Source organism: Homo sapiens, chromosome X (assembly GCF_000001405.40).
Source record: "Homo sapiens chromosome X, GRCh38.p14 Primary Assembly".
Classification (NCBI taxonomy): Eukaryota; Metazoa; Chordata; class Mammalia; order Primates; family Hominidae; genus Homo; species Homo sapiens.
Genome location: NC_000023.11, coordinates 75392312 through 75417564, shown reverse-complemented (window position 1 = coordinate 75417564; position 25253 = coordinate 75392312). Strand labels below are relative to the sequence as shown.

Genomic DNA, 25253 nt, shown 5'->3' with positions numbered 1-25253 from the left:
AGAGACTGGTCATCTTTCTTGAAAACTTAGAATCAAAGCAGTGAGATAATTGGATATAAATTGGTATCATCATCATTAAGTGATATGTATGAAGCTTGCTGTGTGTGCATATTGCCATACTGGGCATTTTGGGAAGCAAACTATAGAGTTCTTACAAACAAGAAGTTAACACTGATGCAGACACACAAATAAGATATGGAAATCGAGAGCAATATAGCAACTAAATAATGCTATTGTAAGAGCCCATTCCACCATGGCTTTAGACAATGAGACTAAATATGGCTAAGAACCCCCCTCTTGTTTTTAAGAGGATTATAACCTTCACAAAAGTCTATGTCAGCTGCAATAGGTCACTGCCTTTCTTTTCCCATCAGCCCTGGTGATGGACACTCCTTCCCTATGAGGTCTATGAATGAGTCACAGAACCCACTGCTAGCAAATGAAGAAACCTGGGAAGACAACGAGGATGACAACCAAGGTAAGTGGGGTCAAAGACTATGAAGTCCACATTAATACAACCAATGTAATGTGGTGAGTAAATAGTGTCCAGAAAGATTTTATAAGCATGTCAACCTCATAAGTGTCCTCTGGATGGTGGAGAGCAAGTATGGCCATATTTGTTTAGTAACCATGGGTAGTTTAGATAAGATTAGATTGCAGCTTGGGAGGCTCCTTACCAGCTTTGTGATTCTGTGATTTATATTACCAGTCAGATATACATCTGGATATATATGGATTTCTAAACAATCCTGCTGGGTAGTCACTTGTAGTACTTTGCTTGAATGTGGAGTTCAATTTAATCAATGGGCAACATTGCACCTTTCTCCATCCTCTTTCATTCACATTGGTTAAATTTTCTTTAAAATCCTATACTCACTCTCTTTTTAGAATGGTTTCAATACACTAAAAACTAAAAGATAGTAATGGGGCAAGCCTACACATGCATGTAGTCTACTTTTCTAAAAGGAAGAGGGGCAAAGGAAAATAAGCTTCAACTTTCTCCTACCAGGTCACTGGGTCATCCTAAGGCATTTTGTAAAGAGCTAAAAGTTGAGTTCTCATATAATGTATCCCCATTGCCAGCCCTATTCCTTGTCTCCACCTGTTGCTGTGCCTACTTTTGTGTCTCCAACATTTACTTATGTTGCTAATACCAACCATTAGAAAGTAGTTTTGGCTACTGTTCCCAATAATGCAGTAGCTGGCAGCAATTTTGAGTAGGAACTTGTAGTAGCTATCACAAACTGTACCTGGGGTGAAGGAGGCTAAATGAAGACATGGAAAAGTATTGAAGTGGGAGCAGCGGTAGAGAACAAGCCTTTCTAATTTTTTACCCAGTTGGATTATCCAGGCCCTGATTACCAGGAAATCTAGTTTTAGAGAAAAGCATGTTACTAGGCCCAAGGAATACAAAACAGCCACAAATCCATAGATAAAAAAGAAAACAGTTATTGTCCATCCCAAAGAACTTACAAGGGCAACTCCCTTACTTCCTCCTGCTGACTATTGGAAAATTGACTATATTTTGACCTGTCTTCCTTCAGTCTTCAGTCTTTCTGAACTGACTTTTACTTACAGCAGTCACAAGTTATAACAACTCTTATTTTGGTATTAAACCCAAACTCTAATAGAAGCCAAATAATTATCAGGTCTTTACCTGGTTTGAAATAATTCACAATGAAAAAAGCTATTCATAGCTGAGCTTTGTGTTGGCAAGTGGAATACTTTAAATGTAGATATAGCATCACATCATAAAGAGGTTATATTTTGAAGCAGTCTCCAATTCCAGACCTTTTCAAAAATATTCAATCATTAAAAATTAGTATGTTATTTTATAGTTTACAAAGTGCTTTCCTATATTTTTTCTTCATATCCTTTGACCCTCACAACTTTCAGGTTAGATAGGCAGTGTTATTAATAGCATCCCTATTTTATAATTAAGAAACTAAAATTGAGAGATGTTAATCTCACATGTCAAGGTATCTTGATTCCAAATCCTAGTTTTTTTCCACTACAATGCTAGGTCTCTCCTTTGGACAAGTACATATGAGACACAGTGCTGTGATTGCATGCCATTTAGTGATCTGAAGCATTCAACTGCTTCTTACATAATCATAAAATCATAAACTGTAAGGTGCCTTTAGCTTTAGCAAGACCACTATGCCATCTTAGATAGCTGAGGGGTTTTTTTTAAGTTCATTGAAGGAGACTCCACAATCCTCCTTTGTAACCCATTCTAGTATCTAATGCAAGTTCTCATGCTGTGTTATTTGTTAGGTTGATTCTATGTTAACTTCAGTTGCTCCCATTTTCTGTGCATAACTGTCATAGACAAACAGTTCTTACATTTTTAACAACTTAGATTCCTAGGAAAGGTGCTGTAAGTTGAAATTACATGTGTGTATTTAAGTTAATTTCTTTTAGGAATCAAGTGGAATTTTTATTCCTAGCCCAAAATATAACATTTCATTTAGTATAAATGTGCTTGTATGGCCGGGCGCTGTAGCTCACGCTTGTAATCCCAGCACTTTGGGAGGCTGAGGCGGGCAGATCACCTGAGGTGAGAAGTTTGAGACCAGCCTGGCCAACATGGCAAAACCGCATCTCTACTAAAAAAGTACAAAAAAAAAAAATAGCCAGGTATGATGACACACACCTGTAATCCCAGCTACTCGGGAGGCTGACACAGGAGAATCACTTGAACCCAGGAGATGGAGGTTGCAGTGAGCTGAGATCGTGCCACTGCACTCTACCCTGGGCGACAGAGTGAGACTCTGTCTCAAAAAAAAAACGTACTTGTACATTGCATAATATAAAACAAACTTTTGGCTGGGCGTGGTGGCTCACACCTGTAATCTCAGCACTTTGGGAGGCCGAGGCAGGCAGATCACGAGGTCAGGAGATCAAGACCATCCTGGCTAACACAGTGAAACCCCATCTCTACTAAAAATACAAAAAAAAAAAAAAAATAGCCAGACGTGGTTGCGGGCACCTGTAGTCCCAGCTACCCGGGAGGCTGAGGCAGGAGAATGGCATGAATCGAGGAGGCAGAGCTTGCAGTGAGCCGAGATCGCGCCGCTGCACTCCAGCCTGTGCGACAGAGCGAGACTGTGTCTCAAAAAAAAAAAAAAAAAAAAAGATAAAATATGCTAACAATAACCTGTTAGGTACAAATATAATATCACAGTCAGGAACTACATAAAGCCTTTGTGTTCTTTGAAATCATGGCCTTGTATTAGCACAGCAAATTATAAGGTAAAGAAACACCTTTATGAAATCAAGGGATTTAAATAGGCTTCTCTGATGTCATTTTTGAAAATAAAAGGTTTAATTAATGCACAAATATATAGAAAACGCATAAATACACAGTGTATAGATCCATGTAGTCTTCTGAGGAGATTTAACAGGCATCTTTTTAAAGACTTTTGAGTCTTGGGGCTATATTTTAGCTTTTTGAGGAAATGATCCAGAGATGTCTGTTATATTACCACTTTTGCTCATTATAAATTTTCCTGTAGCTTACATAATGAAAATTAAAGATTACAGTATAATTCTTTCTGCTCTATTCAAATTGGGATCCATTTCCTTCAAATTGGATGGGTGGCATCTATGGCTCTACCTGTCATGAGTATCATGAATAATAAGTTGGGTATGATTGTCAGGGTGATTCTTAAATGAAAACTGCTGTGGGTCAGAGCTTGCCTGTATGTGAAGCCCATAAAGAACTTCTTCAGCTTTCTCGGGGTCGGGGGCTGGGAGTAATCTTAGTTCCTTAATATTTCTTGTACAGCTGATTTCTCAGTTTTTTACATCTTTATGGCTCTGGTGCCTTTTTGAATGTTCTGTGTTTTTTTTTGTTTTGTTTTGTTTTTGTTGTTGTTGTTTGTTTTTTTTTTTCTTGAGACGGAGTCTCGCTCTGTCATCCAGGCTGGAGTGCAGTGGCGCAATCTCGGCTCACTGCAACCTCTGCCTCCCGGGCTCAAGTGACTCTCCTGCCTCAGCCTCCCAAGTAGCTGAGACTATAGGCATGCGCCACCATGCCTGGCTAATTTTGTATTTTTAGTAGAGTTGGGGTTTCACCATGCTGGCCAGCTGGTCTTGAACTCATATGTTTCTTTATTGTTTCAGTAGTAACAAAGGCTCTGCCATTTTCCAAGTGTCACTCCTTTCAAATTAGTTGCCGAACTCTTTGATTGTGGTCATTTATTTGAGATGCAGTATCCCTGGAAATCTGCAGGAGACAGCCACAGTTAATATTCTCTATGAAATAAAGTTAACAGCAACATTGACAAAGACTCCAGCAGCAGAGCAATGTTTCTTTCTATTTGCAAAGGAATAACTCTAGTTTTTAAATATGTATGCTTATTTATTTGTTTTCTTTCATTGTAAAAATTTAAGATGTACAACATGATATTTTGAAATACAAATACATAGTAAAATGATTACAAGTAAGCAATTTAACAAATACATCATCTCACATAGTTACCTTTTTTTGTGGGATAAGAGTACTTATAATCTATGCTCTTAGAAAATTTCCAGTATACAATACAATATTATTAACTATAGTCCCCATGCTGTACTTTAAATCTCTAGATTTGTTCATCCTAAATAACTACTTACTTTGTACACTTTGGCCTACATTTCCCCCAACCCTGCCTGCCTCTGGTAACCACTGTTGTATTCTCTGGCTCTCTTTGTCTTAGAATCCACACATAAGAGAGATCATGCAGTATTTTTCTTTCTGTGTCTGGCTTATACCACTTAACATTATCCTCCAGTCTCATCCATGTTGTTGTAAATGGAAGAATGGCCTTCTTTTTAAAAACTGAATAATAGCCAGGCGTGGTGGCTCACACCTGTAATCCCAGCACTTTGGGAGCCCAAGGTAGGTGGATCACGAGGTCAGGAGATCGAGACCATCCTGGCTAACACAGTGAAACCCCATCTCTACTAAAAATACAAAAAATTAGCCGGGCGTGGTGGCACGTGCCTGTAATCCCAGCTACTCGGGAGGTTGAGGCAGGAGAATCGCTTGAACCCGGGAAGTGGAGGTTGCAGTAAGCCAAGATCTCGCCACTGCACTTCAGCCTGGGCAACGGAGTGATACTTCCGTGTCAAAAAAAAAAAAGAATAATAATCAGTTGTATATCTGTCCCGCAATTTCTTTATACATTCATCCATCCACAGACACGTCAGTTGTTTCCATAGCTTAGTTACGGTGAATAATTCTGTGGTAAACATGGGATTGCAGATATCTCTATGAGGTACTGATTTTATTTTATTGGATATATACACAGAAGGGGGATTGCCAGATCATATAGTAGTTCTATTTTTCAATTTTTGAAGAACCTCCATACTGTTTTCTGTAATGGCGATATCAATTCAAATCCCCTCAACAATGGATAAGGATTCCCTTTCTCCATATCCTCACCAACGTTAGTTATCTTTTGACTTTTTGAGAATGACCATCCTAACTGGTGGAAGGTGATATCTCATGGTGGTTTTGATTTGCATTTCCATAAAGATTGGTGATGTTGAGCATCCTTTCACACACCTGTTGGCCATTTGAATGTCTTCTTTTGAGAAATGTCTATTCAGGTCCTTCACCCGTTGTTTAATCTGTTTATTTGTTTTTTTGCTATTGAGTTGGATGAGTTCTTCATATATTTTGGATATGAACCCCTTATCAGGTATACAGTTTGCAAATATTTTGTCTCATTCTGTAAGTTGCATTTTCATTTTTTTAAGATTTCAAAATTCCAGTTTCTTGTTTCTTTTTTTTAAATTTTGGATGTATCACTATGAGGAAACCATACTTATTTTACTTGAAATTATTAACACAAAGAATCTAGGAACTCAAAATTGCACTGTGGTTTTAAAAATATTTTTATAATAGATGTACATATTTAAGGGGTACATGTGATATTTTTATACATTCATAATGTGTAAAGATTAAATCAGGTTAATTGGGATATCTATCACTTTAAATATTTATCTTTTATTTAGGCTAGGAACATTCAAATTATTCTCTTCTAGCTATATCGAAATGTACAGGCTGGGCGCGGTGGCTCGCGCCTGTAATCCCAGCACTTTGAGAGGCCGAGGCGGGCGGATCACGAGGTCAGGAGATCGAGACCATCCTGGTTAACAGGGTGAAACCCCATCTCTACTAAAAATACAAAAAATTAGCCGGGCGTGGCGGTGGGCACCTGTAGTCTCAGCTACTCGGGAGGCTGAGGCAGGCAGGAGAGTGGCGTGAACCCCAGAAGCAGAGCTTGCAGTGAGCTGAGATCACACCACTGCACTCCAGCCTAGGCGACAGAGCCAGACTCCATCTCAAAAAAAAAAATGTACAATAGATTATTGTTAACTATGGGCAACCTACTGATCTATCAAACACAAGGTCTTATTTCTCCTATCGAATTGTATACTTACACCCATTAATCAACTTCTCTTTATTCTCCTCTCCTCCCTAATCTTCCTGGCCTCTGGTAACAACCAATCTACTCTCTATCTTTGTGAGATCCACTTTTGTAGCTCCTACATATGAGTAAGAATATGCAATATTTGTCTTTGTGTGCTTGGCTTATTTCCTTAACGTAATAACCTCCAGTTCCATCCATGTTGCTGCAAATGACAGGATTTTAACGTTTTTATAGATGAATAATATTCCATCGTGTACATATACCACATTTTCTTTATTCATTAGTCCACTGAGGAACATTTAAGTTGGTTCTAATATTTTGGCTCTTATAAATAGTGCTTCAGTAAACATCATAGGAGTACAAATATCTCTTTGATACACTGATTTCCTTTCTTTTGGATGTGTACCCAGTAGTGGAATTGATGGATCCTATGGTAGTTCTATTTTTAGTTTCTATTAGAACTTCTGCACTATTTTCCATAGTGACTGTACTAATTTACATTTCCACCAACAGTGTGCAAGCATTCCCCTTTCATGTGCTTGGTAGCATCCATTATTCACGGTCTTATTTTAACAAGGATTACATGGTATCTCACAATGGTTTGATTTTCATTTCCCTGAAGATTGGTGATGTTGAGCATTTTTCATATACCTGTTGGCCATTTGTATGTCTTCTTGTGAGAAACATCTATTCAGATATTTTGCCCATTCTAGAATCAGATTACTTGGCTTTTTCTTTTTTCTTTTCTTTTTTCTTTTCTTTTTTTTTCTTTTTTGCTATTAAGTTGTTTGAGCTCCTTATATATTCTGGTTATAAATCCTTTGTCAGATGGATAGTTTGCAAATATTTTCTCCCATTCTATGGGTTGTCTCTTCACTTTGTTGGTTGTTTTCTTTGCTGTGCAGAAGCTTTTTACCTTTATGTAATCCCAATTGTCTATTTTTGCTTTGGTTGCCTGTGCTTTCAACGTCTTGTCCTGGAGCATTTCCCCCAAATTTTCTTCTAGTCAATTCATAATTTCAGGCTTTAGATTTAAGTCTTCAATCCATTTTGATTTGACTTTTGTATACGGAGAGAGATATGGGTCTAGTTTCATTCTTCTGTATATGGTTGTCCAGTTTTCACAGCACCGTCAGCTGAAGAGACTGTTCTTTCTACATTGTATGTTCTTGGCACCTTTGTCAAAAATGAGTTGACTGTAAATGTGTAGACTTAGACCTGGTTTCTTTATTGTCTTCATTGGTCTATGTGTGTTTTTATCCCAACACCATGCACCATGCTGATTTACTTAACATTGCTTTGTAGTGTTGTTGTTGTTGTTTTTTTTTTTTTTTTTTTTTTTTTAGAGATGGGGTCTCATTCTGTTGCCCAGGCTGCAGTACAGTTGCTCAATCTCAGCTCACTGCAAGCTCCACCTCCCAGGTTCATGCCATTCTCCTGCCTCAGCCTCCCAAGTAACTGGGACTACAGGTGCCTGCCACCACGCCCAGCTAATTTTTGTATTTTTAGTAGAGACGGGGTTTCACCGTGTTAGCCAGGATGGTCTCAATCTCCTGATCTCATGATCCGCCCGCCTCAGCCTCCCAAAGTGCTGGGATTACAGGCATGAGCCACCACTTTGTAGTGTTTTTTTTTTTTTTTTTTTTTTTTTTTTGGCAGGGACTTCCTTGGTTGCCTGGGCTGGAGTGTAGTGGCACAATCTCAGCTCACTGAAATCTCCACCTCACAGGTTCAAGCAATTCTCTTGCCTCAGGCTCCTGAGTAGCTAGGATTACAGGCGTACACAATGCCTGTCTAATTTTTGTTTTTTAGTAGAGACAGGGTCTTGCCATGTTGGCCATGCTGGTCTCAAACTCCCGGCCTCAAGTGATCTGCCCACCTGAGTCTCCCAAAATGCTGGGATTACAGGCATGAGCCACAGTGCCTGACCACTTTGTAGTATATTTTGAAATTAGGTAGTGTGGTGCCTCCAGTTTTGTTCTTTTTGTTCAGGATTGCTTTGGCTATTTGGGGTCTTTTTTTGTTCCACATACATTTAAGAATTATTTTTTCCATTTCTGTGAAGAATGCCATTGGTATTTTGATAGGGATTGCATTGAATCTGTAGATTGCTTTGGGTAGAATGGACATTTTAACAATATTGATTCTTCTTCCAATCCATGCACATGAAATATTTTTCCATTTTTCCTTTATATCCTCTTTAACCTTTTTCATCAATGTTTTATAGTTATCCTTCTATAGATCTTTCACTTCTTAAATTAATTCCTAGGTATTTTATATACTTTGTAACTATTTGAAATGGAATTACTTCCTTGATTTATTTCTTAAGATTGTTTGTTGTTGGTGTGCATAAATTCTACTGATTTTCGTAGGTTGATTTTGTATCTTGCAGCTTTACTAAATTCATTTATTAGTTCTAACAGTTTTTTGGTGGAGTTCTTAGGGTTTCCTAAATATCAGGTCATCTGCAACCAAGGATAACTTGGCTTCTTCCTTTCCAATTTGGATCCCCTTTATTTATTTCTCTTATCTGATTGCTTTGGCCAGGATTTCTAGTATTATGTTGCATAAAATTGGTGAAAGTGGGCCTCCTCATCTTGTTCCAGATCTTAGAGGATCAGCTTTCAATTTTTCCCATTCAGTATTATGTTAGCTGTGGGTTTGTCATATATGGCCTGTATTAATTTGAGGTATGATCCTTTTATACCCAGTTTGTTAAGGGTTTTTATCATATAGGGAACTTGTATTCTATCAAATGCTTCTTCAGCAGCTATTGAAATAATCATGTGCTTTTTTTCTTGGTTCTGTCAATGTGATGCATCAAATTTATTGATTTGTGTATGTTGAACCATCCTTGCATCCCTGGGATGAATCTCATTTGACTGTGGTGACTAATGTTTTATTTATTTATTTTTTATTTTTTTTTAGTATTTATTGATCATTCTTGGGTGTTTCTCGGAGAGGGGGATTTGGCAGGGTCATAGGACAATAGTGGAGGGAAGGTCAGCAGATAAACATGTGAACAAGGGACTCTGGTTTTCCTAGGCAGAGGACCCTGCGGCCTTCTGCAGTGTTTGTGTCCCTGGGTACTTGAGATTAGGGAGTGGTGATGACTCTTAACGAGCATGCTGCCTTCAAGCATCTGTTTAACAAAGCACATCTTGCACCGCCCTTAATCCATTTAACCCTGAGTGGACACAGCACATGTTTCAGAGAGCACGGGGTTGGGGGTAAGGTTATAGATTAACAGCATCCCAAGGCAGAAGAATTTTTCTTAGTACAGAACAAAATGGAGTCTCCTATGTCTACTTCTTTCTACACAGACAACGCAACAATCTGATTTCTCTTTCTTTTCCCCACATTTCCCCCCTTTCTATTTGACAAAACTGCCATCGTCATCATGGCCCATTCTCAATGAGCTGTTGGGCACACCTCCCAGATGGGGTGGCGGCCGGGCAGAGGGGCTCCTCACTTCCCAGATGGGGTGGCCAGGCAGAGGCGCCCCCCACCTCCCAGACGGGGCGGCTGCTGGGTGGGGGCTGTCCCCCACCTCCCAAACGGGGCAGCTGGCCGGGCGGGGGCTGCCCCCCACCTCCCTCCCGGACGGGGCGGCTGGCCGGGCGGGGGCTGCCCCCCACCTCCCTCCCGGACGGGGCGGCTGGCCAGGCGGGGTGGCTGACCGGGCGGGGGCTGCCTCCCACCTCCCTCCTGGGCAGGGCAGCTGGCTGGGTGGGGGCTGCCCCCCACCTCCTGGACGGGGCGGCTGCCAGGTGGAGACACTCCTCACTTCCCAGACGGGGTGGCTGCCGGGTGGAGGGGCTCCTCACTTCCCAGATGGGACGGCTGCTGGGCGGAGGGGCTCCTCACTTCTCAGACGGGGCGGCTGGGCAGAGACGCTCCTCACCTCCCAGATGGGGTGGCGGTCGGGCAGAGACACTCCTCAGTTCCCAGATGGGGTCGCGGCCAGGCAGAGGCACTCCCCACATCTCAGACGATGGGCAGCCGGGCAGAGACGCTCCTCACTTCCCATACGGGGTAGCGGCTGGGCAGAGGCTGCAATCTCGGCACTTTGGGAGGCCAAGGCAGGCAGCTGGGAGGTGGAGGCTGTAGCGAGCCAAGATCACGCCACTGCACTCCAGCCTGGGCAACATTGAGCACTGACTAATGTTTTAAATTTGTGATTGAGTTCAGTTTGCTAGTATTTTGTTGAGGATCTTAACATTTTGTGTTCATCCGTGATATTGGCCTGAGTTTTCTTTTTTCACTGTGTCCTTGTTTGGTTTGGGTATCAGGGTAATGCTGGCCTTGTAGAGTTTAGTAGTATTCCCACCTCTTCAATTTTTGTGAAAGGTTAAGTAAAATTGTTATTAGTTCTTCCTTAAACATTTGGTAGAATTCAGCAGTGACGCCATCTTTTTTTTTTTTTTTTTGATGGAAGACTTTTTTTTACACCATCAATCTCATTACTCATTGGTTTATTCAGCATTCTGTTTCTTCATGGTTCAACCTTGGTAGGTTGTATGTGTCAAGGAATTTATCCATTTCTTCAAGGTTTTCCTATTTGTTGGTGTATAGTTTTTCATTATAATCTCTAATGATTCTTTGTATTTCTGTGGCATCAGTTGTAATATCCCATTTTCACTTCTGATTCTATTTATTTGGGTCTTCTCTCTTTTTTCCTTGGTTAATCTTGCTAATATTTTGTCAATTTTATCTTCAAAAATCCAACTTTTTGTTTCATTGGTCTTCTGTATTGCTTTGGAAAATATTAATTTTATTTGTTTCTGATCTGATATTTATTATTTCTTTCCTTCTACTAATTTGGTGTTTGGTTCATTCTTGCTTTTCTAGTTCCTTAAGGTGCATGGTTACGTTCTTTTTTCAAGTCTTTCTACTTTTTTGATGTAGGCATTTATATAAACTTCCCTTTTAGTACTGCTTTGCTGTGTCCTATAGATTTTAGTATGTTGTACTACCATTTCCATTTGTTTCAAGACATTTTTTAATTTCTTTCTTAATTTTCTTCATTGACTCATTGGCCCAGGAGCATGCTTTTTAATTTCTATGTGTTTGTGCAGGTTCCAGGGTTCATCTTATTTATTTCTAGTTTTATCCATTGTGGTCAGAAAAAATACTTTTTAAAAATCAGGACAGAAAATGAAGCTCAAGAAAATGTAATTGATATGATTTCTACTTTTTAGAATTTGGTGATGCTAGTTTTGTGGCCTAAGATCTGGCCTATTCTAGAGAATGCTCTATGTGCTGAAGAAAAGAATGTATATTCTGTAGCAATTGTGTGAAATGTTCCATAAATGTCACTTGGGCCTATTAGGTATAGTGTGTAGTTTAATTCTGATATCTTTGTTGATTTTCTGTCTGGAGGATACTCCCTTTACTGAAAATGGGGTGTTAAACTGCCCTACTGTTATTTTATTGCAGTCTATCTCTTCCTTTTAGATTTAGTGATGTTTGTTTTATATACTTCAGTACTCCTGTGTTGAGTGCATTGATATTTATAATTGTTATATCATCTTGTTGAATTGACCCTTTATCATTATATAGTGACCTTCTGTGTCTCTTTCTATATATTTTATTTGTAATTCATTTTATCAGATATGAGTAAGTTACTCCTGATCTTTTTTGGTTTCCAGTTGCATGGAGTATCATTTTCCATTTATGTACTTATGTGTGTCTTTATAGGTGAAATAGATTTCTTGTAGGCAACATAGTTAGGTCTTGTTTCTTATTTTTTATTTTTTATTTTAGGTTTGGTGGTACACGTGAAGGTTTCTTATATAGGTAAACTCATGTCACGGGGATTTGTTGTATGTATTATTACATCACCCAGGTATTAGGCTTAGTACCTAATAGTCATCTTTTCTGCTCCTCTTCCTCCTCTCACCCCCTGCCCTCAAGTAGACACCAGTGTCTGTTTTTTCCTTCTTTTTGTTCATAAGTTCTCATCATTTAGCTCCCACTTATAAGTGAGAACATGCAGTATTTGGTTTTCTGTTCCTCAGTTAGTTTGCTAAGGATGATAGCCTCCAGCTCAATCCATATTCCCACAAAAGACATGATCTCATTCTTTTCTATGACTGAATAATATTCCATGGTGTATGGGTGCCACATTTTCTTTATCCAGTCTGTCATTGATGGGCATTTAGGTTGATTCCACATCTTTGCTATTGTGAACAGTGCTGCAGTGAACATTTGTGTGCATGTGTCTTTATGGCAGAATGCTTTATATTCCTCTGGGTATATACCCAGTAACAGGATTGCTGGGTGAAATGGTAGTTCTGCTTTTAGATCTTTGAGGAATTGCTATAGTGCTTTCCACAATGGTTGAACTAATTTACACTCCCACCAGCAGTGTATAAGGGTTCCCTTTTCTCTGTAACCTCACCAGCATCTGTTATTTTTTGACTTTATTATAATACCCATTCTGACTGCTGTAAGATGGTATCTCATTGTGGTTTTGATTTGCATTTCTCTAATGATCAGTGATATTGAGCTTTTTTTATATGTTTGTTTGCTGCATGTATGTCTTCTTTTGAGAAGCATCTGCTCATGTCCTTTGCCTACTTTTTAATGGGGTTGTTTGTTTCTCTCTTGTAAATTTACCTAAGTTCCTTATACATGATAGATATTAGACCTTTGTCAGATGCACAGCTTGCAAATATTTTCCTCCATTTTGTAGGTTGTCTGTTTACTCTGTTGATATTCTCCTTTGCTGGGCAGAAGCTCTTAGGTTTAATTAGATACTATTTGTCAATTTTTGCTATTGTTGTGATTGCTTTCAGTGTCTTTGTCATGAACTCTTTATCCATTCCTGTGTCCAGGATAATACTGCTTAGATTGTCTTCCTGGGTTTTTGTAGTTTGGGGTTTTATACTTAATTCTTTAATCCATCTTGAATTGATTTTTGTATATGGTGTAAGGAAGGGGTCCAGCTTTAACTGTCTGAATATGGTGAACCAGTTATCCCAGCACCATTTATTGAATAGGGAGTCTTTTCCCCATTGTTTATTTTTGTCAGCTTTGTCAAAGACCACATGTTCATAGATGTGCAGCCTTATTTCTGGGCTCTCTATTGTGTTCCTTTGGTCTATGTGCCTGTTTTTGTACCAGTACTATGCTGTTTTTGTCACTGTATCCTTGTAGTATAGTTTCAAGTTGGCTAACATGATTCCTCCAGCTTTGTTCTTTTTGCTTTGGATTGCCTTGGCTATTCAGGCTCGTTTTTGCTTCCATGAGAATTTTAAAACATTTGTCTAGTTAAGTGAAAAATGACACTGGTAATTTGATAGGAATAGCATGGAATCTGTACATTGCTTCCAGCAGTATAGCCATTTTAATGATATTGATTCTACCTGTCCATCAGCATGGGATATTTTTCCATTTGTTTGTGTCTTCTCTAATTTCTTTGAGCAGTAGTTTGTAATTCTCATTGTAGAGATCTTTCACCTCCCTGGTTAGCTGTATTTCTAAATATTTTACTTTTTTGTGGCAATTGTGAATGGGAATTCGTTCCTGATTTGGCTCTTGGTTTGACTGTTGTTGGTGTATAGGAATGCTAGTGATTTTTGTACATTGATTTTGTGTCCTGCAACTTTGCTAAAGTTGTTTATCACCTGAAGGAGCTTTTGGCCAAGACTATGGGGTTTTCTAGATAGAGAATCATATCATCTGCAAACAGATATAGTTTGACTTCTTCTCTTCCTATTTGGATGCCACTTATTTATCTCTCTTTCCTGATTGTTTTGGCTAGGACTTCCCATACTACGTTGAATAGAAGGGATGAGAGAGGACAACCTTGTCTTGTGCCGGTTTTCAAGGAGAATGCTTCCTGCTTTGGCCCATTCAGTATAATGTTGGCTGGGACTTTGTCATAGATGGCTCTTATTATTTTGAGGTATGTTACTTCAATACCTAGTTATTTTAACATGAAGGGATGTTGAATTTTATTAAAAGCATTTCTTGAATCTATTGAGATAATCATGTGGTTTTTGTCTTTAGTTCTATTTATGTGATTAATCACATTTATTCATTTTCATATGTTGAAACAACTTTGCATTCCGGGGATGAAATCTACCTGATCATGGTGGATTGGCTTGGTGATATGCTGCTGGATTCAGTTTGCAAATATTTTATTGAGGATTTTTGCAACAATTTTCATCAAGGATATAGGCCTGAAGGTGAATTGTTGTTGTGGCTATTGTTGTGTCTCTGCCATGTTTTGGTATCAAGATAATGCTGGCCTCAGAATGAGTTGGAGAGGAGTCCTTCCTCCTCATTTTTCTGGAATAGTCTCGGTAGGAATGGTACCAGCTCTTTGTAATCTCGTAGAATTTGGCTGTGAATCCATCAGGTCCTAGGCATTTTCATTTAGTAGGCTGTTTATTACTGATTCAATTTTGGAGCTCATTCTTGGTCTTTTCAAGGAGTCCATTTCTTCTTTGTTCAGCCTTAGGAGGGTATATGTGTCTAGGAATTTATCTCTTTTAGGTTTTCTAGTTTGTGTGCATACAGGTGTTCATAGTAGCTTCTGATGGTTTTTACTTCTGTGGGGACAGTAGTAACATTCTCTTTGTCATTTCTGATTGTGTTTATTGGATCTTCTCCCTTTTCTTCTTAATTAGTCTAGCTAGTGGCCTATCCATTTTTTTAATGTTTCAAAAAAACCAGTTCCTGGATTTGTTGATCTTTTGAATGGTTTTTCATGTCTTGATTTCCTTCAGTTCAGCTGTGATTTTTGTTATTTCTCATTTTCTGCTAGCATTTGGGGTTTATTTGTTCTTGCTTCTCTAATTCTTTCAGTTGTTATGTTAGGTTGTTAATTTGAGATCTTTCTAGCTTTTTGATATGGGCATTTAGTGCTATGAATTTCCCTCTTTAATACCACCCTAGCTGTGTCCCAGAGATTCTGGTATGTTGTATCTTTGATCTAATTATTTTCAAAGAACTACTTAATTTCTGCCTTAATTTCATTATTTACCTAAAAGTCATTCAGGAGCATGTTGTTTAATTTCTATGTAATTGTATAGTTTTGAGCAATTTTTATTGTGTTTACTTCTATTTTTATGGCACTGTGGTTCCAGAGTGTGTTTTGTAAGATTTTCATTCTTTTACTTTTGTTGAGGATTGTTTTATGTCCATCTATGTGGCTGATTTTAGAGTATGTGCCATGTGGCAATGAGAAGAATTTATATTCTGTTGTTTTTGGGTGGAGACTTCTGTAAAGGTCTCTCAGATCCATTTGGCCCAATGCTGAGTTTAGGTCCTGAATGTTTTTGTTAATTTTCTGTCTCATTTATCTGTCTAAAACTGTCAGTGGTGTGTGGAAGTCTCCCACTATTATTGTGTGGGACTCTGTCTCTTTGTACATCTCTAAGAACTTGCTTTATGAATCTGGATACTCCTGTGTTGGGTACATATATATTTAGGATACTTAGGATCTTCTTGTTGAATCGAACCCTTTACCATTATGTAATGCCCTTCCTTGTCTTTTTTTATATTTGTTGGTTTGCAGTCTGTTGTCAGAAATTAGGATTGCAACCCCCGCTTTTTTCTGTTTTCCATTAGCTTGGTAGATTTTTCTCCATCCCTTTATTTTGAGCCTATAAGTGTAATTACATGTGTGATGGGTCTCTTGAAGACAGCATGCCATTGGATCTTGCTTTTTAACTCAGCTTGCCACTCTGTGCCTTTTAAGTGGGGCATTTAGCCCATTTACATTCAAGGTTAGTATTGATATGTGTGAATTTGATCCTGTCATTGTACTATTAGCTGGTTGTTATGTTGGTTTATTTGTGTGCTTGCTTTGCAGTGACACTGGTCAGTGTGTTTAAGTGTGTTTTTCTTTTTTCTTTTCTTTTTTTTTTTTTGGAAACAGCACAGGAAAAGTGACTGCTTTAATGTATTAGGCAAAACTTTACATAAAATCAGAAATCTATGATCTGTCCGTGCTCCAATTTGTAAAAAAACACAAGATTCATCAGAAGCCATGTGCAGTCAGACCCCAGCTGGCTGGCAGTGCAGATCTGGAGTCCAGCCTCAGTGATGCGCTACTTTCCATCCTCTTCATTGAACATTTGTTCTGTCAGCATCCGTTCCAGCTTCACTATTCACTGGTAGCAGTCTTTCCTTTCTATATTTAGTGCTCCTTTCAAGATCTCTTCTGAGACAGGTCTGGTGGTCGTGAAGTACTTCAACATTGCTTATCTGAAAAGGATCTTATTTCTCCTTCACTTAGGAAGCTTAGTTTGGCTGGATATGAAATTTTTGGTTGAAGTTTTTTTCTTTATAAGTGTTGAATATAGGCCCCCAGTCTTTTCTGGCTCATAGGGTTTCAGCTGAGAGTTCCATTGTTAGCCTGATGGGGATCCCTTTGAAGGTGACCTACCCTTTCTGGCTAGCTGCCTTTAACATTCTTTCTTTCATTTCTACCTTGGAAAATCTGATGATTATGTGTCTTAGAAATGATCTTCTTGTGTAGAATCTTGCAGGGGTTCTCTGTATTTCTTGCTTTTGACTGTTGACCTCTCTAGCAAGGTTGGGGAAGTTTTCATGGACAATATCCTGAAATGTATTTTCCAAATTATTTGCTTTCTCCCCCTTCCTTTCAGGGATGCCAATGATTTGTAGCTTTGGCCTCTTTACATAATCTCATACTTCTTGGAGGTTTTGTTCATTTCCCTGTATTCTTTTTTCTTTATTTTTCTCTGATTGTCTTATTTCAGAGAACCAGTCTTCAAGTTCTGAGATTCTTTCCTCAGCTTGGTTTATTCTGCTGTTAGTATTTGTGATTGCATTGTGAAATTCTTATATTCTGTTATTCCACTCTGTCAGACCCATTAGGTTCTTTTTTATACTGGCTATTTTATCCTTCAGCTCCTGTATCACTTTATTATGATTCTTATTTTCCTTGGATTGGGTTTTGCCATCCTCCTGAATCTTGATGATTTTTGTTCCTATGCATATTCCGAATTCTACGTCTGTCATTCCAGCCAGTTCAGCCTGGTTAAACACTCTTTTGGGAGAAGTTGTACAATCATTTGGAGAACATATGACACCCGGGCCATTTGAGTTACCAGAGTTCTTGCATTGGTTTTTTTCTCATCTCTGCGTGTGGGTGTTTCTTTAACTGCAGTGTAGCTTGAGTACAGTCAATATACTTCTTTTCTGGATGTTTTCACTGGGCTGAGGCTTTGTGTAGTGTCTTTATTTGAAGCTGATTTCTTGTCTCTGGTATCAGAGGGGGTTATTTTAGTGATGAATTTTTGGTGTTGAAGTTTTGGGGTATGAACCAGCAGGTGACACTCAGGCTTACTGGTCATTTGGTAGACTCTTGCTCAGTTGTGTAGCTCCCCTATTTTTTCTCACAGTTGCAGCCATATTTCCTCTCAGTGCTCTGAAAGTGAAGGTTCCTCTCCCCCTTTAGTCTGGCTGTAGTTCATGACTTGGCACAGTTGGGCTGCCCACTGGAGCTCTGGGGTGATCTTAGTGCTTATGTTCCTTCCCCAGCGTAGAGGCAGCAGAGGAGGAGATCTTAGTAGTGGTTGTGACCAAGGGTCGTTTACTTGACTCCTGGAGGCTTTACTCCAGAGAGATACAGGTCAGCAATTGCTCAGTGCAGTCAGCCCAAGGTGAAGGGTTTATGCCCAAGCCAGGGGTTCCCTGTCTGGTGATGAGCCATGGGTGGTGTTTAGGACCTGTGGGAGATGGACTGGCCTCCTCTCCTTGGGTCAACTACAGCTTGTTGGAGGTATGGATAAGACACTTAGGGTCTTTGCTCCTTTGTTACTCCAAGGGTGGCAAGAGTAGTTCCACTACAGAGGCAGTGGCTAAGAGGCTTTGCTTTCAGTTGCCCCTGGAGGCTCTGTCCAGGGAGTTGCTGAGTTGGTACTAGCTTAGTAGCTCTGGTGGGGGGTGGCTGGAGGGCCAGGCCTGGAGGACCTGCCCATTGAGGAGATATGAAAACGGGCAACCACATAACAGTCTGGCCACTTTTTCATAGGGCTGCTGTGGTATGCTTGGGGCCTACTCCAGATCCTAATCACCTCAGATTTTCCACAACCTGGAGGTGTCACCAGTGAAGGCTGTGAAACATCAAACATGGCAACTTGTCCCTATTTCAGGGAGTTTTGTCCCAGGGAGTTACAGACCTGTTGCTGGCCCAAAGGCACCTGTAGGAAGTGGCTGGAGACCACAGTTGGGAGGTCCCGGCCAGTGAAGATGAACAGGATTGGGAACTGCTTAAAAAGCAGTCTGATCCTGTTTTGATAGAGCAGCTGCGTTGTGCTGGGGGTCCACTTCAGCCCTTGGTCACCTCACACTCTGAAGCCCAAAGGCTGGAATGGGTAAGATGCCCAAAGAGCAATGATGGCAGCCCACCCCTCCCTGTGGGAGTGCTGTCCCAGGGGGAGTTCAGATCTCTGTTGGCTGGAGAGCTTGGGTGGGGATAGCTGGAGGCCCCAGTTGGGAGGTCCCGCCCAGTGAGGAGGAACAAGATCAGGACCCACTTATAAAGGCAGTTTGGCCATGTTTTGTTAAAGCAGCTGTGCTTTGCTGGGGGGTCCACTTCAGACCCTGGTCACCTCAGACACCCCAAAGCCCAAAGGTTGGAATGGCTAAGTCATCCAAAGAGCAAAAATGATGGTCCATCCCCCTCTGGGAATGCCTTTTGAGGGGGAATTCAGATCTCTGTCAGTTGGAGAGATTGGGTGGGGGTGGCCGGAGGCCCTGGTTGGGAGGACCTGACCAGTGAGGAAGAACAGGATCAGGCGCCGGCTTAAAGCAGCAGTCTGGCTTTGTTTTGGTAGAGGAGCTAGGCTGTGCTGGGGAATCCCTTTTGCCCCAGGTCAGCTAGACTCTCAAAGCCTGAAGGCTGGAACGGCTAAGGCACCTGAAAAGCAAAGATGGTGGCTCGCCCCTCCCACCAGGAGCTCCTTTTTAGGGAAGTGCAATGCTGCTACTGCTAGCTGACTGGAATTCCAAGCCAGTGGGTCTTATCTTGTGAGGTGCCATGGAAGTGAGGCCTGTGGGCTGTTACTGCTCAGCCCCCTGGATTCAGCTTCTTTCCTAGGGCTATGTACAAGAGTCTAACCTCCCACTTTGTGGGAGCTGCAGCTACTTTTGCTGAAACGCCCAAGTTTCTAAGGCTCCAGTGTCTCCACACATGCCTGAGCGGCTGCTCTGCCAAGACTCCATGTAACTCTATTTGTCAGACTGAAGACTGAAGGCCCTGGTGGGGTGGGTTCACAAGGAAACCTCCTTACCCAAGGGTTGCAAAGATCTGTGGGAGAAGCATGGCTTCCCTGGGTGGAGGAGGATTCACCTGCCTCCGTGTTGCTCCCAGATGGGCCGTTGTCCTCTTGCTTTTCTTTGTTCTCTGTGGGTCAAGTTGTTTCCTAGATTAATCCCAATGTGAGTACCTGAATATTTCGGTTGAAGGTCTTGTATTTATTCACCCCTTCTGTTCCTCTTCATGAGAGCCACACAACCTAGCTGCTTCTAGTTGACCATCTTGGCCACTACTCCCCAGGTTGTTTCTTTATTCATTCAGCCACTCTATGCCTTTTAAAACAAGTTTTTTTTTATTTTTAATTTTTCTGGGTACATACTAGGTGTATATATTTATGGGGTATATGAGATATCTTAATACAGGTATACAATGTGTAATAATCAAATGAGGATAAATTGAATATCTACAACTTCAAGCATTTATCCTTTATTTCTGTTACAAACAGTCCAATTATACTTTTAGTTATTTTAAAATACTAAATCTTGTTTATTCTAACAATTTTTTTTTTTTGAGATGGAGTCTCACTCTGTTGCCCAGGCTGTAGTGCAGTGGTGTGATCTCAGCTCACTGCAACCTCCGCCTCCTGGGTTCGAGTGATTCTCATGCCTCAGCCTTCTGAGTAGCTGGGATTACAGGCATGCACAACCATGCCTGACTAATTTTTGTATTTTTAGTAATGACGGGGTTTCACCATGTTGGCCAGGCTGGTCTCGAGCTCCTGACCTCAGGTGATCCACCCGTCTTGGCCTCCCAAAATGCTGGGATTGCAGATGTGAGCCACCGCACCCAGCCAATATTTTTATAAGTGTTAACCATCCCAACTTCCCCGACCCCCAAACACCATTCCCAGCCTCTGGTTACCATCATTATACCCTCTATCTCCATCAATTAAATTGTTTTAATTTTTAGCTCCCCAAAATAATTGGGAACATGTGACGTTTGTCTTTCTGTGCCTGGCTTATTTCACTTAACATAATGACCTCCAGTTCCATCCATGTTGTTGCAAATAACAGGATTTCATTATTTTTTTATGGCTCAATAGTACTCCATTGTATGTATATACTACTTTTTATCTATTCATCTGCTGATGGACACTTAGGTTGCTTTTAAATCTTGGCTATTATGAGTTGTGCTCCAATAAACATAGGAATGCAGATATCTCTCCAATATACTGATTTTCTTTCTCTTCAGTATATAACTAGGAGTAGAATTGCTGGATCATATGTTAGCTCTATTTTTAGTTTTCTGAGGAAATGCCAAACTATACTCCATAGTAGTTTTAATAAAACATACATTTGCACCAATACTGTTCAAGGGTTCTCTTTTCTCCACATCCTCACCAGCATTTGTTATTGCCTGACTTTTGGATAAACTTTAACTGGGGTGAGATTTGGTCTCATTATAGTTTTGATTTTCATTTCTCTGATCAATGATGTTGAGTACTTTTCCATGTACCCGTTTGCCATTTGCATGTCTTCATTTCAGAAATGTCTATTCACATCTTTTGCCCATTTTTAATCAGATTATTAGATTTTTTCCTATAGAATTGTTTGAACTCTTTATGTATTCTGGTTATTAATCCCTTCTCAGATGGGTATTTGCAAATATTTTCTCCCATTCTGTGGTTTGTCTTTTCACTTTGTTTATTGTCTTCTTTGCTGTATGGAAGGTTTTTAACTTGATGTGATCCCATTTGTCTATTTTTGCTTTGGTTGCCTGTGTGTTAGGGGGTATTACTCAACACATCGTTGCCAATTCCAATGTCCTGAAGAATTTCCCCAAAAGTTTTATTTCATAGTTTCATATTTTGAGGTCTCAGAGTTAGGTCTTTAATCTATTCTGATTTGACTTTTATATATGGAAAGAGGTAAGGGTGTAGTTTCATTCTTCTGCATATGGATATCCAGTTTTCCCAGCACCATTTGTTGAAGAGAGTGTTCTTTTCCCAGTGAGTATTCTTGGCATTTTTGTTGACAATAAGTTTACTCTTTGTTCTCTATTCTGTTCCATTGGTCTATGTGTCTCTTTTTATGCTAGTTCCATTCTGCTTTGCAGTCAGGTAATGTGGTTCCTACAGTTTTGTTTATTTTGCTCAGGATAGCTTTGGCTATTCTGGGTCTTTTGTGGTTCCATATAAATTTTAGGATTATTTTTCCTATTTCTATGAAGGATGTCATGGGTATATTAAGAGGGATTGCATTTAATCTGTAGATTGCTTTGGGTAGTATGGACATTTTAACAATCTTCTTCCAAATCATGAACATGGAATATCTTTCTATTTTTTTGCTTCCTATTCAATTTCTTTCAATGTTTCACAGCTTTTCTTGTAGATATTTTTCACTTCTTTGGTTAAGCTAATTTATGGGTATTTTATTTTACCTATTGTGAAGGGGGTTACTTTCTTGATTTCATTTTATGTTGTTCACTGTTAGCATACAGAAATGCTACTAATTTTTGCATGTTGATTTTGTATTCTGCAACTTGACTGAATTTGTTTATCAGATCTAATGTTTTTTTTGTGGAATCTTTATGTTTTTTCAAATATAAGATTATATCATCTAAAAACAAGGATAACTTGACTTTTTCCATTCCAATTGGGATGTGTTTATTTCTTTCTCTTATCTGATTGCTCCAGCTAGGACTTCTAGTACTGTGTTGAATCACAGTAGTGAAAGTGGGCTGAAATTTTTCACTTCCCTTCTTAATTTCTTTATTGATCTACTGGTAATTCAGGAGCATATTATTTAATTTCCATGTGTCTATATACTTTCCAAACTTCCTCTTGTTATTGATTTCTAATTTTATTCCACTGTGGTCATATAAGGGATTTGATATTATTTCACTTGTTAAATTTTTTTAACACTTGTCATCTAACATATGGTCTGTTCTTCAGAATGATCCATGTGCCAAAGTGAAGAATATGTATTCTGCAGCTGTTGGATGAAATGTTCTGTAAATATTTTTAGGTTCACTTCATCTGTGGTGCATATTATCTGATGTTACTTTGTTGATTTTCTGTCTGGGTGATCTGTTCAATGTTGAAGGTGGGGTATTGAAGTCTCCAGCTGTTATTGTTTTGGAGTCTTTCTCTGTTAAGCTCTAATAATATTTGCTTTATACCTCTGGGTGTTCCAGTGTTGAGTGTAAGTATACTTAGAATTGTTATATTCTCCTGCTGAATAGACCCCTTTATCATTATATAATCACCTTCCTTGTGTCTTCTTATAGTTTTTGTCTTAAAATGTATTTTCTCTGATATTTTTGTAGCTACACATGCTCTGTTTTTGTTTTCACTTGCATGGAATATCTTTTTCCATTCCTTTATTTTCAGTCTATTTGTGTCTTTATAGATGAAAGGTGTTTCTTGTAGGTAATAGATCATCGGGTCTTGTTTTTTTTTTTCATCCATTCAGCCACTTTTTCTCTTTTGATTATAGTTTACTCCATTTACATTCAATGTTATTATTGAAAAGAGCTTGCTCCTACCATTCTATTACTTGTTTTCTGGTTGTTTCATGGGTTTTTGTTTTGTTTTGTTTTGTTTTTGTTTTTGTTTTTTGTCCTTCCTGTCTTCTTTTAAGTAAAGGTGATTTTCTCTTGTGGTATGTTTTAATTTCTTGCTTGTTATTTTTTGTGTATCTGTAATATGTTTTTTGATTTGCAGTAACCATATGATGGTTAGTACTGAGTGTCAACTTGATTGCTTGAGTGGATTGAAGGATACAAAGTATTGATCTTTGGTGTGTCTGTGATGGTGTTGCCAAAGGAGGTTAACATTTGAGAATCAGTGGGTTGGGAACAGCAGACTCATTCTTAATTTGGGTGGGCACAATCTAATCAGCTGCCAGCACAGCTAGAATATAAGCAGGCAAAAAAATGTGAAAAGATGGACTGTCCTAGCCTCCCAGCCTACATCTTTCTCCCATGCTGGATGCTTCATGCCCTCAAACATCAGACTCCAAGTTCTTCAGTTTTGTAACTTGGACTGGCTCTCCTTGCTCCTCAGCCTGCAGACAGCCTATTGTGGACCTTGTGGTGGTATAATACTTAATAAACTCATATATATAATTCCATTAGTTCTGTTTCTCTAGAGAACGCTGACTAATACAGATTTTGGTACCAGCAGTGGTTCTAGAAGAACAGAATATTAAGGATGGAGTTCTTTTGTTGGTTTGGGGGTTTCTGGAATTGGCTGCTTAATATGATTAGACACAAAAATGTTAAGGACTCTACTTCTAATAGTATGGAGAACACTGATGGTCCTTGGCATGAACTGTTTAGAGAGTTAGTAAAATAAATACACTCGACACTCCTGATTCATTGCTCATGAGAGGCAAGGAGTTTAGTGACTCTATACATAATACTTTTGACCTTATGTGGAGAACCAAGGAACATAATGAAGCTGGTTGGCTGCTCCTAAGTTCAGTGGAAAAACTGGTGAAGGAAAATGATGAACTCAAGGATTCTGTCTCCTGGCTTCAGAAGCAGATACTGAGTCTCAAATCTGCTAAGATTTCCCTCAGTGAGAGTCTTATTTCAGAGGGAGGAACACTGCCACCAGGAGACACAACAAGGATTCCATTAAACAGGAAGTTATGATTGCCACCTGAACATTTTGGGCTCCTCCTACCTTTAAGTCAACAGGCTAAGAATGGAGTTACAGTGTTGTCTGGGGTGATTGACCCAGACTATCAAGATGAAATCAGTCTACTACTGCACAATGGATGTAAGAAAGAGTATGCATGGAATACAGGAGATCCATTAGGGCGTCTGTTAGTATTACCATGCCCTGTGATTATGGTCAATGGGAAACTACAACAGCACAATCCAGGCAGGACTACAAATGACCCAGACCCTTCAGGAATGAAGGTTTGGGTCACTTTATCAGGAAAAAAAAAAAAACCATGACCTGCTGAAGTGCTTCCTGAAGGCAAAGGGAATACAGAATGGGTAGTAGAAGAAGGTAGTCGTCAGTACCAGCTACAACCACATGACCAGCTGGAGAAATGAAGACTGTAATTGTCATGAGTATTTCCTCCTTGTTTTGTTAAAAAAAATGTTTATGCCTATATACACTTGTACTAAGAAAATATCTTCATTTTATTTCCTTTCTCCTTTATCATGTGACATAAGATTTATTGACTTCACATCAACATTTAAGTATTGTTAACTTTATGTAATAGTATTTGGGTTGGGGATTGATGCGGTTGCAGTTGTACAAAGGATAGTTGTATTATGTTTGGTGTAACTATGACCTTATTATCATCTATATTTGAATATTATGTATGATCTCAGGAGATGTGTATGGGTTCAAGTTGACAAAAGGTAGACTTGTGATGGTTAATACTGGTCAACTTGATTGGACTGAAGAATACAAAGTATTGATCCTGGGTATTTATGTGACAGTGTTGCCAAAGGAGATTAACATTTGAGTTGGTGGGCTGGGAAAGGCAGGCCCACCCTTAATTTGAGTAGGCACAATCTAATCAGCTGTCAGTGTGGCTAGAATATAAGCAGACAGAAAA

At 39.4% G+C, this 25253-nt stretch overlaps 1 protein-coding gene across 12 annotated transcripts in view; it reads left to right on the top strand.

The window, feature by feature from the left end:
* ZDHHC15 (zDHHC palmitoyltransferase 15) overlaps nucleotides 1-25253 on the top strand; it is a 154611-nt gene that overhangs the window by 105473 nt on the left and 23885 nt on the right. For 10 of the 12 annotated variants that reach the window (XR_001755658.3, XR_938393.3, NM_001146256.2 and 7 more), the window contains one exon: nucleotides 375-478. Coding sequence is in view for 10 of the 12 variants with exons in the window: in NM_001146256.2 (NP_001139728.1) it covers nucleotides 375-478 (104 nt within the window). In the remaining 2 variants the exon portion in view is untranslated. Of the gene's footprint in view, nucleotides 1-374; nucleotides 479-14193; nucleotides 14412-25253 lie in introns of those variants that run through there. The other 2 variants (XM_047441868.1, XM_017029296.3) reach the window with 1 other exon arrangement.